This window comes from Homo sapiens, chromosome 17 (genome assembly GCF_000001405.40).
Source record: "Homo sapiens chromosome 17, GRCh38.p14 Primary Assembly".
Classification (NCBI taxonomy): domain Eukaryota; kingdom Metazoa; phylum Chordata; class Mammalia; order Primates; family Hominidae; genus Homo; species Homo sapiens.
This window is the reverse complement of record NC_000017.11, coordinates 76,452,725-76,470,775: the sequence shown is the minus strand read 5'-3', so window position 1 is coordinate 76,470,775 and position 18,051 is coordinate 76,452,725. Positions and strand designations below refer to the sequence as shown.

Sequence of the window (18,051 nt, the reverse complement as noted above, 5' to 3'; positions counted from 1 at the left end):
TGGAGCATCTTGGGGAATTAGTTGGGCCAGAAAGCAGATTGGGGTCACGTGGGAGACCCCAGGGGTCCACTTGGGAGGGCTGGGTTGAATCCTTAGGGCCCTGGGGTTCCCACCCCTACCTGTTCTGCCTTGGCTCCAGAGCAGGGAAGGGGCTGCCTGGGCCCAGGGTGGCCTGCCCTGATGGGGATGGCACTGAGGGGACCTGTCACCCCACCCGGGGACGAGTCCACTCCCTGTGCCAGTGCCTCACCCACCACACTGAGGATGGCCAGTGAGGCACCGGGTATGACCACTTGATTACCATGGGCAGAGGGCCCTGCACCAGCTTCCCTGCCCCAAGCTGCCTCTACAGCACAGGCCTCCCGCCTCTGCCCCATCCTGCTGCTCCCCACTCTCCCCCACCCTAGGGGCTAAGGGTGGGAAGCGGCATCCATGAGGCTGGGGAGAATAAGGACACCCCCCCCCCCCACCGAGCAATGGGCTACTGTGAGGATGCCGCCTTGGTGCCTTTGCCCACCTGCCAGGAGGAAAGGAGCCAGGAACCCCACAGCACCTCCCATTGTCCCCGCTTACCAACCCAGCCCGGTCTCAGGTACAGAGTTCAGAACACAGGAGGTCCAGAGGCCTCGTGGGGACAGACAAGACACACCACTCCAGCTCAGGCCGTGAGAAGCCACCTTATCTCCTCTTTATTTAGCCCTGCTCTCTCCACTCTCTGGAAACTGCTGTCTCCATGCTCAGCTGAGCTAAGAGGAGCCCAGGGCAGAGACGGGGATCATGTTGGCAGCCAGGTGGGCAGCCCAGTTCAGCAGCCGCTGTTCCTGCGCAGGAAGGGGTGGCCCCGCAGGGAGCAGTGGAGCTCCATGAAGGTGAGGGAGCCCACGGTGATGGCGCAGGGGCCCACGGCGTGGAAGCTGAACCTCTCATAGAAGGGTACCAGCGCGTCCTCGCACATGAGCGCGGCCCGGCGCACGGCCGGCTGGCTGCCCAGGTGGTGCAGGTAGCGCCACAGCAGGATGGGGCCCCTGCCCTGCTGCCGGAAGGCGCGGTGCACGGCCAGCACATGCAGGTGGGCTATGTGGCCCCCAGACCTGTGCAGCGTCAGTGACTCCTGGGAGCGAGCAAGGGATGAGATCCCAGGTCACTTCTGCTGACACGTGCTCCCCCCCAACCACCAACCCAGGCAGGGAGCAGGTGTCCCCTGGGTGCCTGTGGTCAGGGCACCCACCCCAGCAAAGGAGGGCCCCAAATTGGGAGCCATACCCCCAACCCCATGGAGAAAACTTGAAGACCCAGAAGGTCTTGCTCTGGGAGGGGCCTGTGGCCTGTACTCATCTCTCCAGTTCTGGAGGAAGAAATCCCAGCCCCTGGGCTCCCCTCCCCGCCATCTGGCTGACCTCTGTCTTCAGAGGCCTCCCTGGAGCTGGGCGTCGCAGCCCTGTCCTCACCTGCATGAGTCTCTCCTTGTCCCAGAGCGAGCCGATGATGAAGGCCACAAGGCAGCCCTCCTCGAACCAGCCCAGGGACAGCTCTGGACATAGGGTCAGGAAGTGCCGGATCTCATCCAGGTACAGGGGGCAGACGCCCAAGACGGAGATGAAGGCTGTGGCAGGAGGCTCAGGTGGGTGACTGGTAGTCGCTGTGCCTCGCGTCCACTGTCTGCTGCACCCCGAGTGTCCACTCAGATGCCCCGTTCCCCACAGGAAAATGGGGGTTAGGGCTGCTGTTTCCCCCACTTTCTTGAGCGCACACATGGTCTGATACTCTGGGACCCAGCCTCCAAGGACAGGAGACTAAGGGTCTCCTCCCCACAGGATAACTGGACCAGAGTGGAGCATCCCTCTGACCCTGTGCGGGGCCACTCACCTTCACGCTCGATCTCAAAGGCGCTGACAGCGTCCTCCGGGGTGAGGCAGCGAAACTCACTGGCAGGGAGTGTGTGGCGCCGCTGACAGCTCGGGGACTCGGGGATCCCAGGTGGCAGACGTGGGGCCTCAGGTTTCAGGGGGTGGGTGCTCTGCGTGGACATTCTGGCCACTGGTGCCTCCTTGGGGCGCCCCAGCTTTGGAAGTGTCCTCCTAAGCCAAGGAGGGCCTCCCAGCACCTGTTGGAGAACAGCAAGGGACAGGGGTCTCATCCTCATCTCCAGGGAGGCAGGCCCCAGAGTATGTATCTGGCCTCTTTTGTAGCAGGAACTGGGGTGGAGACAGCCCCTAAATCAATGGGCACATTCCCCAGGTACCTGGTCCCCGAGGCTGTTACCAGGCATTGCAAACATTGGCACTGTCTCCCCACCTTTCCCTCTCAGCCAGAAGGATCCCTGGAGGTTTGCCACCTTGCAGACCTGCAGACATTGGTCTCAGGGTGCCGTCTGGGTGCTTCTGAGCCCCAGAGATGGTGGCAGGGATGAGCAGGGCTCAGTGGAGCCTGGGGCACCCCAACCCTGCTGCCCACGGTGGGAGGGGAGGCAGGACTCGTGACCCTCCACTGACCACGTCTAATGCAACTGTGCAGTGGGTGGGCGCCCGGTTCCCCCACACCACCATTCATGTGGTTTATCTTACCTCCCCAGAGGGAGGCTTCTGGTCCTTTGGGTGCAAGATCCTGTGGCAGAGAGCTTTTTAGGTAGCCTCAGCCCTTGGTCCTAGAGAGCCCCTTAATCAAAGTGGGCCCTTAGGGAGCCTCTACTTCTATCCAGATGGCCTCAGACTGGGCCACACACATGCAGGATTTGTGGTGGGGGGTGGGGAGGTTAGAGGGAGCCGGGGGCTGCAGAGGGCCTGGGGAATGGGGAGGAGCAGGCAAGGAGAGTGCATAGGACACCCCCTGCCCCACACATCCAGCTCATCAGACATTCCCCTCTGGGCACTCTTGTCTCCCAAGACACCCTGCAGATTTGCAGTTCTTAGAGGAGGCCATCCCTCCCTCCACCTTCCAAGACACTTAATAAACTCCATGGCTTCCATGTTTCCCTCCATGTCTAGAAGCTCCAAGTAGAGAAGCTCCTGTTCCTAAAGGCTGAGAGCCAGGAGTGGGGGTCCCACCTACCTGGACTGTGGAGAGGATACCCAGTGTTCCCTCCACAAAGCCGCTAGCCCTGGGGGCCTGTCCGCAGGCACGGGAACCAGTAAAATCCGGGACTCCGGGCTGCAAGGCTGTAGTAGCAGATGTTCCCCGGGCAGCCTGTGGTGCTGTTAGAGGTTTGTAATCCCCCCACCCCACCTCTCGAGCTATCCCAGGCAGGATGACGCCAGCAGGGCTCTGGCAGCCTCGGCCCCTGCCTTGCTGAAGGGAAACGTCAGCTCTGGTGCCCTGGGCACAGAAGGGATTACCAGAGGCTGACTGAGGCCCCAGGGTTTGGGGAAGAGAGCGTGGGGCTAAGCCTCAGGGGTCCATCTCTAATCCCTGCTCTGTCACCGACTGGCTGGGCACCAGCGATTCTCCCTCTGTCCCTCGGAGTCTTGGACAAGCCCACCTCTTATGTGGGGGGAGGGGGTGGGAATTCAAGCTACCAATTTGTGCACTTTAAGTACGTTCTACTTCAAGTTTATTTAAATATTTAATTTAATTAAATATTTAAATATTCAGGAGGTTGCCCTACCAAACATCTCAACTACAAAGCTCTCTGCTATTGACCTTGGCTCCACCCATTCCCAGGGCTGCCCAGGCCTTGGCACTTGGTGCTGGCATTCCCTCGGGATGCAGGCCCCTCTCCCTGTTGGCTCTGACTACCCCCTGCCCTCCAGCTCACACCCCATCCTGCACCCCTTAGCTCTTCTCTCGCCAGCACCTGCCTCTCCGCCCCACCCAGCAGTGCAGATCCTGTGTCCATCTCGGGCTCCTGGGGGTCCTGGAGGTTGGATTTCACAGGTGCACTCTTTTGACCCCCTGCAGAGGAAGCTTCTGCTCCTACCCACACAGCTTGGGACGGACCTCTGAGGGTCCTTCCTGTCCTGGCAGCCTGTGAGTGCCACTGCTTACAGCACTTGCTATGTGCCGGGCCCTGGATACGCGTCTCCTTTAATCCACACGGAAGCCCGGCCAAATGAGTATTAACCACGTTATAGAGAAGGAAACCGAGGCACAGACAGGTTCAGTAACCTGCTCAGAGCCATCCAACAAGTGAAGGGGGAGGGGCAAAGCCGGGTCAGCCTCCTGACATGCACTGCCACGGCTGCACTGGTGGGACCCACTCATCTCACAATGAGACTCCTGTTTCCTGTCTTCATGATTCTCCTGCTGGTTTTCAGTGTCCTCACAGGTGCACTCTTTCGACCCCCCCGCAGAGGAAGCTCCTGTTCCTACCCATACGGTTTGGGACACAGCCCCTGACCGTGGAGTGACCCCGTCCCGATGCCCCCGCCCACCCACCACATGCATTCCTCCTGTCTCTGGGTCCCCTTCTCCCAGGGCCCCTCTGCACTCTGAGGCCCACCTGCCTGCTAGAAGGGACCCTCAACAGACCTCTCAGGACCGACCAGAGACCTCCTTGGGCTTGGTTGGTGGGGTGGTCATGTCCAAGACCTCAGCTGGGCATCCCCACCTTCAACCTCCAGGGTCCCCCAAAAGGCCTCTTCTGTCCCTTCATAGACTGTGGCTCCATGGCACCCCCTGGTGGCCAATCCTAATCAGTCACTTGGCGATGCCTGAGAAGAGCCTGCTGTTCAATCGGCCTCTCTCTTTGCTGACTTCCACATGGCCCTGTTCTTTCCGGACAACACCCTAGAGGTCTAGAACCTCAGGGAACAAGATGAGGCAGTAAGCCAGGCACAGTGGCTCACCGCTGTAATCCCAGCACTTTGGGAGACAGAGACGGGAGGATGGCTTGAGCCGGAGAGGTCGAGGCTGTAGTGACTCGCCACTGCACTCCAGCCTGGGCGACAGAGCGAGACCCTGTCTCAAAAAAATACAAATAAAAATAAATTTTTTTTAAAGATGAGGCGGTATGTTAAACATGGTGAAACTGGGAAGTTCAAACCCTTGTGGGACAGGAGAGGAGACAGGGGAGGGCAGGGTGATCGCTGGGACCTTTGTCCTGGTCAACAGGAAGAAAACCACATACCACCACCAATGAGAAGGAAAATAAGGAGGGTGAGGGGCCCAACAGGGTGATGGGTACAGAGAGAAGGAGATCCCTGGGGCTGGGCATAGTGGCTCACACCTGTAATCCCAGCACTTTGGGAGGCCAAGGCAGGAGGATCACTTGAGCCCAGGAGTTTGAGACCAGCCTGGGCAACATAGCAAGACCCCTGTCTCTACAAAAAATTTAAAAATCAGCCAAGCATGGTGGCACACACCTGTAGCCCCAGCTACTTGGGAGGCTGAGGTGGGAAGATCACTTGAGCCTAGGTGGTTCAGGCTGCAGTGATGAGCCACTGCACTCCAGCCTGGGTAACTGAGCAAGATGTTGTCTCAAAAAAAAAAAAAAAAATCCTGACCTCAGGTGGGCTCTAAAAAAGAAGCACCTCCGAGATCATCCTCACGCCAGGGACACCGATTGCACTGTTTATCAGATGCCCAGTCTTGTCCTGCTATTGCAGTTAAGAGTGCTGGCAACGCCTCTGGTGACTGCCTCTCAGGTGGATCTTGGGGATGGGGGGGAGAATGTGTCCTTTGCCCCCCAAGTCGTACCTGTTCAGTCACTCTAGACAGCTGATAAACACCTAACCTGATGGGCAAGGCCGGGCACGGTGGCTCATGCCTGTAATCCCAGCACTTTGGGAGGCTGAGGCGGGTGGATCACCTGAGGTCAAGAGTTCGAGACCAGCCTGGCCAATATGGTGAAACTCCGTCTCTACTAAAAATACAAAAAATCAGCCAGGTGTGGTGGTGGGCGCTTGTAATCCCAGCCACTTGGGAGGCTGAGGCAGGAGAATTGCTTGAACCCAGGAAGCAGAGGTTGCAGTGAGCCAAGATCGTGCCATTGTACTCCAGCCTGGGCAAAAAGAGTGAAACTGCTATCTCAAAAAAAAAAAATATATAGATACAGACAGGGAGAAGCTGGCATCTGTATGTTTCCCAGGGGTGCTGTAACAGATGATACACAAACTGGATGACTGTAAACCACAGAAATGGCTTGACGTCGTGGCTCATGCCTGTAATCCCAGCACTTTGGGAGGCCGAGGCTCTTTGTTCCCAGCCTCTCCCTCCAGCAGCAGCTCCCTTGAAAGTCCTGTATCCACAACTCACCCACCGCGACTCCCTGCCCAGTGTGTACCATGCCACCCTGCCTCACCCATGATGGCTCCCCTCAGGGGTCCCCCTGTCTCTCCACCCAGCCTGGCCTCTTTCGATCTCCCAGACAGATTTACACATTTCAAATGCCAGATGGGGTTCAGTTTTCTCCCAAAAGGCTCTTCGGTCCCATGAAAATCATGGTCTGTGACTGGGCTTCCACTTCAAGACTCCAGAATATTCTTTTTTTTTTTTTTTTTAAGACAGAGTCTTGCTCTGTGGCCCAGGCTGGAGTGCAATGGCACAATCTCGGCTCACTGCAACCTCCGCCTCCCAGGTTCAAGCAATTCTCCTGCCTTAGCCTCCCAAGTAGCTGGGATTACGGGCGCACACCACCATGCCTGGCTAATTTTTTTTATTTTTCCTAGAGATGGGCTTTCGCCATATTGGTCAGGCTGGTCTCAAACTCCTGAACTCAGGTGATCCACCTGCCTCAGCCTCCTAAAGTGTTGGGATTACAGGCGTGAGCCACCGCACCCAGGCAGGACTCCAGAATATTCTATAGCAGTTTGGAGAGGGGTTGTCCAGGGCACACAGAGAACTGCCAGGGACCATGCTACCTAACTCCCCACCTGCCCTGGTAGAGCCTCACCTCTGACCCATCAGAGCCCCCATCCCACTCCTAATCAGATGTGGTGAGGATGATGACGACAGTTATTGAGCGGATAACTGATATCATGACAGTAAAAAAGGTTCTGAGAGGATGTGTATCACCACACGAAAGCTGAGAACCAAGCTTTTGGGATGTCCACTGTTAGCAGGGAAAGGAGTTATTAACAGGAACACAGGTGAAGCCACAAGAAGGGAAGAACCCAGGGGAGAATGTCCAAGAAATGGGGCAGATAGAGCCTGAAATGCCACAAAGAATGGAGAACAGATCTCAGATTCTGCCAACAGGGAGGCTCCGATGACCTTTAAGAATCCTTCCAGAAAAGGCCGGGCACGGTGGCTCACACCTGTAATCCCAGCACTTTAGGAGGCTGAGGTGGGTGGATAGCTCGAGGTCAGGAGTTCAATAGCAGTCTGGCTAACATGGTGAAACCCCGTCTCTACTAAAAATACAAAAATGATCTGGGCGTGGTGGTGGGTGCCTGTAATCCCAGCTACTCGGGAGGCTGAGGCAGGAGAATTGCTGGAACCCAGGAGGCAGAGGTTGCAGTGAGCCAAGATTGCACCACTGCACTCCAACTTGGGCCACAGAGCAAGACTGTATCTCAAAAAAAAAAAAAAAAGGAATCCTTCCAGAAGGGAGAAATGGGTGGAGAGGCCAGATGCAGAGGAATGGCCTTAATGGTGACAGTGAGAGGTGGAGTGCAGAGGCCGTTGATTAAAGGCACACTGACTCGCTGCCACGGCCGGGGGTTGGAGAAAACCTCCCCACGGCCCCCACCCCATCCCGGGCACCGAGCCTGCTGCAGCTGCTGATACCCCCGGAGAGCCTGGTGCAGGGGCAGTGAGCATCCCCACCGGGCCCAGTGCAGAAGCCCTGGACCTGGAATCTGGGAGCTTCCCGCATGGAGACACACCCCCTCCCCTCCGTGTGTCAGCTGCCCAGTTTCACACCCAGACTGAAGGGAGCCCATTTGGGGCAGACCAAGGAGTGGGCCCCATGGCCATGTCCCAGGGACACCTTGACGATGCCTCTGAGATACCGGTTTTCCATGCAGAGCAGTTGAGAGGCCCGGCGTGCAGGAAGCATAGCCCTCTCTTCAGGCTCTTGTGCAATGGCTGCATTTTTTTGGTGGTTTCGATGGTCACTTTCTCTCTCAACTCCTCCCCTGCACTAAAGGTCTGCCCCACAGACCTGGCACTGAGCACATCTCGCGTTATCGTCTTTACCTTTCCAGCCTGAGTACTACCACGTGGCAGGCTCCCCGGGGGATGAGAGATGGAGAACTGTGTGCGGCAAGTTTATTGGGGAGAGGTCTCATGAGCGACCCCTACCATGGAGCAGGGCAGAGGGCTGGACAGTGGAAGCTGAGCCGTGATGGTGCAGCTGTAACCGAGGCCTTGGCGCATCCCCCGAGGAGCTTCAGACTTGGGAAGCCCTTCTGGACCCACCTCTTTGTCCTGCATCAACCTTGGGTGGAACAGCTTGCTTCATTGAGGGCAGTTGCAGGAAAATCCAGCTGGGAGCCGTCAGCAGTCCTGCCCACTGCGGGTAAGAGCCCTGAATCACTTTCTCCAAGCTTCCAAGTACCAGGGTCCTTGCCAGGGTGATAAATTCTGTAACAGGGAAAAGAGCTCCCATACCAACACACGTTCCTTATCCAACTTTATGCTCTGATCCCCTTGGCCCAGCCAGCATCCTCTGATTCCAGTCCCCACTCTCCTGGCTCTGGCTGGGACCTGCAGCTCCTTCAGGACAGAGCCTCCTTCCTCCCTTAGCCGACCCAGCACTTCACCAGTAGGTGAGGTTGCGATTTAGCCCTAGTTACTGGCCCAGTGCAAGAAGAGGAGGTGCAGTATATACTCAGGGTTGGGAAGGGGGTAGTACATGTCTCCTAAGGAAGAGGCATTGTCCCCAAGGAAGGAGGGGCACTAACCTCTGTCCCTGGATGGCTCCCGCTTCTCCCCAGGGGCCTCCTCTGTATCGCTGACTCATTAAGGTTGGGAATTCAACCTGCTCTCAGGCTCTGCCATGCTGACTTCTCTCTGTTCCTTAACTTCAGGAGGCGAGTTTCTTTACATGCTGCCAAGGAGGCCCTCTGGCTTTTCCACTTTGCCTTCAAGCAGTGATTCTTCACCCCCAGCCTCTGACTGCCTTTCTCCTCTGCACTGACTGCCCCAACAGCCATCCAGCCCCCCAGTCCTTACACTTACTCCATCCCTGTACCTCTCAGACACCTGAGATGTTGCACCCACCACTGACTGATTGATTGATTGATTGATTTCTTCCTTCCTTCCTTCCTTTTTTTTTTTTTTTTTTTTTTTTTGGTGGAGGCTCACTCTGTCACCCAGGCTGGAGTGCAGTGGCACAATCTCAGTTCACCAACCTCCACTTCCCAGGTTCAAGTAATTCTCCTGCCTCAGCCTCCCAAGTAGCTGGGATTACAGGTGCCCACCACCATACCCAGCAAATTTTGCATTTTTAATAGAGACGGGGTTTCACCATGTTGGCCAGGCTTTGTGCCCCTTACAGACAGTCAGTGGTTGGGGGAGGCATCTTCTTTTAGCCAAGGGCAGTGTTTGGAGAGGGATGTGATGGGGAGGTGCACCACAGCATCCACTACACACCTGTCCCCCCAAGAGGCTTATGCACTCCTGGAAAACAGAGGCTGGGTTGAGAATGTGGCATCGTGCCACCCACAGAGCAGGTGCCTATCAGCTAGAGGCACAGTCTTCTGTTTTTTTGTTTTTGTTTTTGTTTTTTTTTTAAGATGGAATCTCACTCTGTCGCCCAGGCTGGAGTGCAGTGGCGCGATTTCGGCTCACTGAAACCCCCGCCTCCCGGGTTCAAGCAATTCTCCTGCCTCAGCCTCCTGAGTAGCTGGGATTACAGGCACATGCCACCACGCCTGGCTATTTTTTGTATTTTTAGTAGAGACGGGGTTTCACCATGTTGGCCAGGCCAGTCTCAAACTCCTGACCTCAAACAATCTGCCCCCCTCAGCCTCCCAAATTGCTGGGATTATAGGCATGAGCCACCACGCCCGGCCCAGAGTCTTCCGTTGAGGTGGGTGACTCAAAGGCAGGGCTGAGTGGGACCCTGCCTTATTTGGGGCTCAATATCGCCGTATTAGATAGGCACTTACCTCAGGAACCTTCCAGACCATTCTGGAATGGAAGCATCCAAGGCAGGGAGGGATTGCCACCTCCTGGACAAAGAAGGGACCTACGGCTCCCCAAGTAATGGAGCCAAACTGCCCAATAGTAAGATTGTGTGAGCCCCACATGTGATTTTAAATGTTCTAGTAGCCACATTTTAAAAAGCCAAAAGAGGCTGGGCACGGTGGCTCATGCCTATAATCCTGGCACTTTGGGAGGCCAAGGCAGGAGGATCGCTTGAGCCCAAGGAGTTCAAGACCAGTCCGGCCAATATAGTGAGACCTTCTCTCTATTATTTTTTTTAATAAAAAAATAAAAAACAGGCCAAGCTTGGTGGCTCATGCCTGTAATCCCAGCACTTTGGGAGGCCGAGGCAGGTGGATCACCTGAGGTCAGGAGTTTGAGACCAGCCTGGCCAACATGGCAAAACCCCATCTCTACTAAAAATACAAAAAAATTACCCAGGTGTGGTGGTGGGGCATTTGTAATCCCAGCTACTCAGAAGGCTGAGGCACAAGAATGTCTTGAACCCGGGATGCGGAGGTTGCAGTGAGTCGAGGTCCTGCCAGGACACTCCAGCCTGAGCAACAGAGAGAGACTCTGTCTCAAAAAAAAAAAAAAAAAAAAAAAAAAAAAAAAAAAATTTCCTGAAGTAGGTGACTGAGGCTGGAGCACAGAGCACTCCATGCTGGATGCAGAGGGGGAAGGGGGGTTGGAAGGATCAGATCAGTTTATGAAAGGCCACATGCACCTTCTTGGGTGGACCCTGGGGAGCCACAGAAAGATATAAAGCCAAGAGTCCAATGACCGTGCTTGCATTTTCAGTCACCCTGGGAACAAGGCAGCAGACAGATTAGACGGCCTGGGGCCTGGTGAGGGGCCTACAGCCGAGGTCTAGGCAAGAGATGGAAATGAATTCCTAAGAAAAGCTAATGTTATCAGGCCTGCCATCATGCACTCACTGGGCAAAGCACGTTATATTCAGTTGGTCAGTTACAGTCTCCACAGTCCTATGAAGTAGGTATTATTATTATTCCCACCTTACAGAAAGGAAACTGAGGCTTAGAGAGTAAAATAACTTGCCCAAGGTCACATAGTGACCAGCAGCAGCACAAGCTTCAAACCCAGGTCCCTGTGACTCCGGAAGCTCACTCTCAGCCACTGTACCTCCCACCTCCCCACATCTCCATGGATCTGCCCCCCTGGTGGGGCAGCTCTGGACAGGAAGGGTGTGAAAAGGCAGTGAGGGGCCAAGACCCAGGCTTTGATTGCATGTAGAGCTTAAGAGTGAGGGCTGACCCTCAGGTGGCCAGCTCAGTACCCAGGTAAGTGATACTGCCATCCATCAGGATGAGAACTCTGGGAGAAGAAACTATTTGAGGAAAAGATGATGAGTCTACTTTGTACCTATGGCTGGTCACATCCAGGAAGCACCCACGAGTCTGGAGCTGTGGGAGGTGGCAGTGGATAGGCTGACATATTGTTCTTGAAGCTGGTCCAGCAGATTCACTGTGCCTCACCCTGTATCTTCAGGAAGGAGGGAAACAGGACGAACCTGGTGATCCTATGCTGTCACTATTGCTCAAACTTTTCACTGTTGCCCCAGCATAAAGTGTTTTGCCCAGTGGATTGCAACCCACCCTCACAGCAGGAGTCAGAATGGCCAAGGGCCAGCTGGGCTGGGTCCTGATCCTGACTGTACTGCAGAGTGACCTTGGGCAAGTCCCACAGTTTTCCCAGGGCACCTGTGCAAGGAGCAGGTGAGGCTCCAGGAATGAGAAGGGCCGTTTTAACTCCAAAAGCCTTGAGCGGCATTCAGCTGGAGCCTCGGAGGCATTTCTTCAGCCAGCCACATGAGGGTGTGGGGGGTTTCCCAAGGCAGCTCACCTCCCACCCCACCCCCCAGCTGAAGTCCCCAGTGCCTAAGGCACCCTAGCCTTCCCAAACACCTGCTCCAGGGTGGAAGGAGCTCTTTGGGCCAGGCTGAAATCGCTTGCACAGCAATGGAGAGGCCAAGCAGGCTCCCGCAGAGGGCAGTGTTGGGCCTGAGCATACTTTGTGGGTCCAGAGAGGTGCTCCAGTGGCTGGTTAAGATAGGGACGAGACAGGGCCTGCTTCCCTGAGACCAGTTCACTCTGCTGCTGGCTCTGCCGCCTCCTGCACACCACCCACCCCACTTAGCAAGGGGAGAGGCCAGACCAGCTCAGTTTCTGGAAGCACATTTATAAATAAGTGAAATCCTCCCAAGAAATAGCTCTATTCCCCACGAAAGGCTGGGAGATGGGGCCATGATAAGAGAGGGTTTCTTCATTAGGGAATCAAGTTTTTTTCCTCCTTCCTACACCTCAACAATGACAAAAATAAAAACTAAGCAGCGGCTTCCATCCACACTTACCCTGCTAGCCAGCCTGAGTGTATGGAGACCGTGGCTGGGGGCTCAGGGTCTGGGAAGGAGTCAAGCCTCAAACCTTATCCAGAGCATCTTGGGTCTGAGTGAGGTCCATAAAAGACACCATCGGATGGGTAGGAATTTACTGAGTCTCATTCTCTAAAGCAGCTCAGATGCAGTTGAAACTGGGGGCACTTGAAAGGATTTGGAGCAGCCAAAGAGGGCAGCTCTGTCCCAGCTTCTTCAACTTTTGGTTGTTGGAAAAAGGATAGGAAACTGACAGAATGGAGGTACAGGTTCTCAGGCCTTTGATATCCGCTAACATGATAATTTTCTTTTTTTCTTTTTCAAGACGGAGTCTTGCTCTATCTCCCAGGCTGAAGTGCAGTGGCACAATCTCAGCTCACTGCAGCCTCCGCCTCCCGGGTTCAAGTGATTCTCCAGCCTCAGCCTCCTGAGTAGCTGGGATTTCAGGCGCCCGCCACCAAGCCTGGCTAATTTTTGTATATTTAGTAGAGATATGGTTTTGCCATGTTGGCCAGGTCTCAAGCTCCTGACCTCAGGTGATCCACCCACCTTGGCCTCCCAAAATGCTGGGATTACAGGCGTGAGCCACTGTATGGGCCTAGCCTAATACGACACATTATTGAGCTCCATCCCTATGCCAGGTACTGTCCTAGGCACCAGGGTTACACACACAAATACAACATGGTCCACATGCTTAAGGGTTTAGTCTAGTGAGGGAGAGATCAGCATGTAAAATCAAGGAGTCTTACCTCCAACCTGGCAGTATCCTGATAATCTATGTAAAGCACTTAGTAGAGTATCTGGCATGAAGTTACAGCTCAATAAGTGATAGCTATTATTAGCCATTATTACAAGAAGCCGCAGAATAAACACAACACGTCTTCCAGGAGTGCCGATATTACTCAATGATTAGGGAGGAAAGGGCATTAGTTTTTACATTAAAACAACAAACATAGGCATACTCTGGAGTACAATGCAAAACTCACTTGATTTTTTGACAACAAAAGCAGATTTGAGGCCGGGTGCGGTGGCTTATGCCTGTAATCCCAACACTTTGGGAGGGCAAGGCGGGTGGATCATTTGAGGTCAGGAGTTCGAGACCAGCCTGGCCAACATGGTAAACCCCGTCTCTACTAAAAATACAAAAATTAGCCAGCCGTGGTGGTGGGCGCCTGTAATCCCAGCTACTCAGGAGGCTGAGGCAGGAGAATCGCTGGAACCTGGGAGACGGAGGTTGCAGTGAGTCAAGATCACGCTACTGCACTCCAGCATGGGCGACAGAGTGAGACCCTGCCATGAAACAAAAAGCAGATTTGAGGTCTGCACTGCCTTATCCCGCCGTGGGACACATAGACACATGGACTCCCCTGTGCAATCAGGAGTTCTTCTGAGGGAAGCCTAAAGAAATAGCATAACTACAAAAGCCCCTGCCCTTAGAGTGGGGAAACTCCTCAGGTTACTACCTGTTACCTTAGGCGCCAAATTCCTTGGGCCCTATTTCTTCATTGGTAAAATGAGGTTAAAAACTCTCTATATCCAAGATTGTGATAACAGACAAGATAATGTGCTTGGAAGTACCTGGTACAATGCCTGGTCAATAATATGTGCTTAATAAATGCTATGTTATCAGGGGGCAAGAAAACAGGGCTGAAAGGGTCATGGGAGGCAGAACAGAAGCTACTATGTTACTGCTGTTTAATCTCCCAGGTCTCTACAGGAGAGGGAGTAGGGACCTGCGTCCTTACAGCAGTGATTCCAGATGGTCATTTGGCATTGTGTTCTGGGATGGGAAGGCCATGGTTTGAGAACCCAGCCTTGCCCCAAAATCATATCCTAACTCCCCCTTCAGCTGATTCAGCCCATTTGTTCTATATCTTAGTAGATAAATTTTCTAAGATTTGGGTCCATTGACAACCACCCTGATCCCAATATTACATCAATACTCTATTAGTACTTGGCCTAAGACATCTTAAGTACTTAGGCTGCCATCTGTTTTGTGCATGTTCTTTTTTTTTTTTTTTTTCCTGAGATGGAGTTTTGCTCTTGTTGCCCATGCTGGAGTTCAATGGCTCGATCTTGGCTCACCACAACCTCCACCTCCCGGGTTCAAGTGATTCTCCTGCCTCAGCCTCCTGAGTAGCTGGGATTACAGGCATGGGCTACCATGCCTGGCTAATTTTGTATTTTTAGTAGAGATGGGGTTTCTCCATGTTGGTTAGGCTGGTCTTGAACTCCTCACCTCAAGTGATCCGCCTGCCTCAGCCTCCCAAAGTGCTGGGATTACAGGCGTGAGCCACCGTGCCCGACCTTGTGCATGTTCTTTTAACTTTTCTCTCTCTTTTTTTGAGACGCAGTCTCGCTCTGTCGCCCAGGCTGGAGTGCAGTGATGTGTTCTTGGCTCACTGTAACCTCCTGCTCCCGGGTTCAAGCGATTCTCCTGCATCAGCCTCCCGAGTAGCTGGGACTACAAGCATGCGCCACTACACCTGGCTAATTTTGTGTTTTTAGCAGAGACGGGGTTTCACCATGTTGGCCAGGGTGCTCTTGAACTCCTGACTTCAAATGATCCATCTGCCTTGGCCTCCCAAAGTGCTGGGATTACAGATGTGAGCCACCACACCCAACCAACTTTTCTATGAACATAGTTCTGTATCTTCAGGATCCTGTAAACAACACAAAGAGCTGGGATTCTGCCTTCTTTGAAGAACCTAAATACTGTAATATCCAACTTACTAGTCTTTCGTTGATGATCGTGTAGAAAAATGTGGAAAAAATGATGTTGACTGAGAAAGGTTAGGGCCAGATCTTGTTTTCCTTAACAATCCATTTAAATCTGTCCTCTGAGAATGTATCTAAACCCTTTGAAACTTAGGTGACACATTAAATTAGAGTTAGTTTTTTTCTTTTGAGATAGAGTCTCACTCTGTCACCCAAGCTGGAGTGCAGTGGTGTGATCTAGGCTCACTGCAACCTCCAACCCCCAGGTTCAAGTGGTTCTCGTGTCTCAGCCTCCCAAGTAGCTGGAATTACAGGCGCCTGCCACCTTGCCCAGCTAATTTTGGATTTTTAGTAGACATGGGGTTTTGCCATGTTGGCCAGGCTAGTTTTGAACTCCTGACCTCAACTGATCCACCCACCTTGGCATCCCAAAGTGTTGGGATTTCAGGCGCAGTCAAAGTGTTGGGATTTCAGGCGTGAGCCACTGTGCCCGGCCTAGAGTTACTTTTTTTTGAGACGGAATCTCACTCTGTCGCCCAGGCTGGAGTGCAGCGGCGCGATCTAGGCTCACTACAACCTCCACTCCCCAGGTTCAAGTGATTCTCCTGCCTCAGCCTTCCGAGTAGCTGGGATTACAGGCGGCTGCCACCGCGCCCGGCTAATTTTTGTATTTTTAGTAGAGACAGGGTTTCACCATCTTGGCCAGGCTGGTCTTGAACTCCTGACCTCGGGTCTCCCACCCGCCTCGGTCTCCCAAAGTGCTGGGATTACAGGCAAGAGCCACCACATCCAGCCTTTTTTTTGTTTTTTGTTTTTTGAGACAGAGTCCTGCTCTGTTGCCAAGGCTGGAGTGTAGTGGCATGATCTCGGCTCACTGCAACTTCTGCCTCCCAGATTCAAGCAATTCTCCTGCCTCAGCCTCCCAAGTAGCTGGGACTACAGGTGCACACCACCACGCCCAGCTAATTTTTGTACTTTTAGTAGAGAAGGGATTTCGCCATGTTGGCCAGGGCGGTCTTGAACTCCTGACCTCAGGTGATCAGGTGATCCATCTGCTTCTGCCTCCCAAAGTGCTGGGATTACAGGCATGAGCCACCACGCCTGGCCCTAGAGTTACTTTTTATATTTTATTTATTTTTATTTATTTATTTTTTTGAGACAGAGTCTTGCTCTGTTGCCCAGGGTGGAGTGCAGTGGCGCGATCTGGGCTCACTGCAACCTCAGCCTCCCAGGTTCAAGCGATTTGCCTGCCTCAGCCTCCTGAGTAGCTGGGACTACAGCCATGTGCCACCACGCCCAGCTATTTTTTTTTTTTTTCCGTATTTTTAGTAGAGATGGGGTTTCGCCATGTTGGCCAGGATGGTCTCAATCTCTTGACCTCGTGATCCGCCCACCTCAGCCTCCCAAAGTACTGGGATGACAGGTGTGAGCTGCCGCGCCCGGCCTACTTTTTATATTTTAAAATGACAATATGGAGCAGACCATAACAGTTCTGCCAGTCTGGAATTTAGTCTAGGCAGGGAGTTTGGAAATAGTACAACAATGGTTAAGCTTATCGAAGGAGCTAAATGCCAGGCACTGTTCTACTTCACTTAATCCTCCAATTGCCCAATGAGATGAGTATTGCTATTATCATCCCTATTTCACAGATGAGCAAATTAAGATGAAAATAAGTTAATCAGTGTGCCTATTTTTATAGATTAGTAAGTGGCAGTGCCAAAAATTGGAATCCGTGGTCCCCACTCTTAGCTACCTTACTATACTACCTCTTGCCATTCATTCTTGGCTTCAGGGAGCTTTGAATTTATCTGCATGGATTTGTAGCCAAACCACTGGGACCACTGATCCTTTTGTTACCTTTCTCTGGGCCTCCTTCACCAGCTTCTGGGTCAACTTCTGAGGGGTCATGACGTTCGAACTGCTTGGAATTCCTGAATACAGTGCATTATACATATGCTCTACACGTATCTATTATAGCCTTACAAGTTGGAGTTGTTTGTTATCTATTTAATGTGTATTTGTTTTGTCTCCCCAACTAGACTGGAAACACCTAGAGGACAGGGACAGTATCTTTCTCTTTCTGCAATGCTCCCAGTGCCTGGGGGCTAGGCTAGGACGCCAAGGGAGCTCATTAAAAGTTGTTGACAGTCTCTCCACCATCCTGTGCCCCACCCCGACCACTCCCCTCTTCCTCGGTGGCCACTCCACTTCCTCCTCCCGGGTCCCCGCCCCTTCTCGCTCCCTTTAGTTGAATCCTCACTGGTCTCGCCCCTTCTTAGTGGATTCCATCCTGCCCCCGCCCCCCGCGGCATCTTCAGCGTCCCCTAGCGACGAGGCGGTGGCTCCTAGCAACTGCATCCCGGCTCCCTGACGACGGCGCCACGCAGGGACACGTCAGCGCGCTATGGCCCCGCCCCCGGCGCCCGCTGGTCCCGCCTCCCCGCGCCTCGTTCGCCGCCGCTGTCGCCGCCGCCGCCCGAGACTCGCGCAGAGCAGTTATGGCGGATCCCGCAGCCCCCACGCCCGCAGCTCCCGCTCCAGCCCAGGCCCCGGCTCCAGCCCCGGAGGCAGTCCCGGCCCCAGCCGCAGCCCCCGTCCCGGCGCCGGCGCCCGCCTCGGACTCGGCCTCCGGGCCGTCCTCGGACTCCGGCCCAGAAGCCGGCTCGCAGCGCCTGCTGTTTTCTCACGACCTGGTGTCGGGCCGTTACCGTGGCTCCGTGCACTTCGGGCTGGTGCGCCTCATCCACGGCGAGGACTCGGACTCGGAGGGCGAGGAGGAGGGCCGCGGGAGCTCGGGGTGCTCCGAGGCCGGGGGCGCGGGCCACGAGGAGGGCCGGGCCAGCCCCCTGCGCCGCGGCTACGTGCGCGTCCAGTGGTACCCGGAGGGCGTCAAGCAGCATGTGAAGGAGACCAAG

General features: G+C 54.2%; 2 protein-coding genes across 11 annotated transcripts in view, besides 3 other annotated features; one reads left to right on the top strand and one right to left on the bottom strand.

The window, feature by feature from the left end:
- AANAT (aralkylamine N-acetyltransferase) lies at positions 659-17,425 on the bottom strand. 3 transcript variants are annotated; one of them, NM_001166579.2, is made up of 7 exons: positions 16,994-17,425; positions 11,410-11,529; positions 8,296-8,460; positions 4,544-4,893; positions 1,867-2,104; positions 1,449-1,603; positions 659-1,111 (listed from the first exon to the last, which is right to left on the bottom strand). In NM_001166579.2, exons 4-7 carry the CDS (start codon positions 4,601-4,603, stop codon positions 806-808), a joined length of 759 nt encoding a protein of 252 aa, NP_001160051.1. In that variant the 5' UTR covers positions 4,604-4,893; positions 8,296-8,460; positions 11,410-11,529; positions 16,994-17,425; the 3' UTR covers positions 659-805. The 3 variants fall into 3 exon arrangements, 2 of the variants coding, with proteins under 2 accessions (NP_001160051.1, NP_001079.1); NR_110548.2 differs by lacking the exons at positions 4,544-4,893; positions 8,296-8,460; positions 11,410-11,529; positions 16,994-17,425 and adding an exon at positions 3,049-3,173 and having other exon boundaries at positions 1,449-1,659; NM_001088.3 differs by lacking the exons at positions 4,544-4,893; positions 8,296-8,460; positions 11,410-11,529; positions 16,994-17,425 and adding an exon at positions 3,049-3,173.
- Positions 12,078-12,157: an enhancer, noted in NCBI's record as "active region_12808". NCBI's record gives its function as "activates an Ori minimal core promoter by ATAC-STARR-seq in GM12878 lymphoblastoid cells {active_cell/tissue: GM12878}" and the evidence as "EXISTENCE:reporter gene assay evidence [ECO:0000049][PMID:35858748]".
- Positions 17,413-17,952: a silencer, noted in NCBI's record as "silent region_9017". NCBI's record gives its function as "represses an Ori minimal core promoter by ATAC-STARR-seq in GM12878 lymphoblastoid cells {active_cell/tissue: GM12878}" and the evidence as "EXISTENCE:reporter gene assay evidence [ECO:0000049][PMID:35858748]".
- Positions 17,450-17,618: a silencer, noted in NCBI's record as "fragment chr17:74449240-74449408 (GRCh37/hg19 assembly coordinates)". NCBI's record gives its function as "represses an EF-1alpha promoter that drives an FKBP-Casp9 reporter gene in an ReSE screen in K562 erythroleukemia cells {active_cell/tissue: K562}" and the evidence as "EXISTENCE:reporter gene assay evidence [ECO:0000049][PMID:32094911]".
- UBE2O (ubiquitin conjugating enzyme E2 O) overlaps positions 17,624-18,051 on the top strand; it is a 63,697-nt gene continuing 63,269 nt past the window's right edge. For all 8 annotated transcript variants that reach the window (XM_017024935.2, XM_047436518.1, NM_022066.4 and 5 more), the window contains exon 1: positions 17,624-18,051. In XM_017024935.2, coding sequence (XP_016880424.1) covers positions 17,635-18,051 — 417 coding nt within the window. In that variant the 5' untranslated portion in view covers positions 17,624-17,634.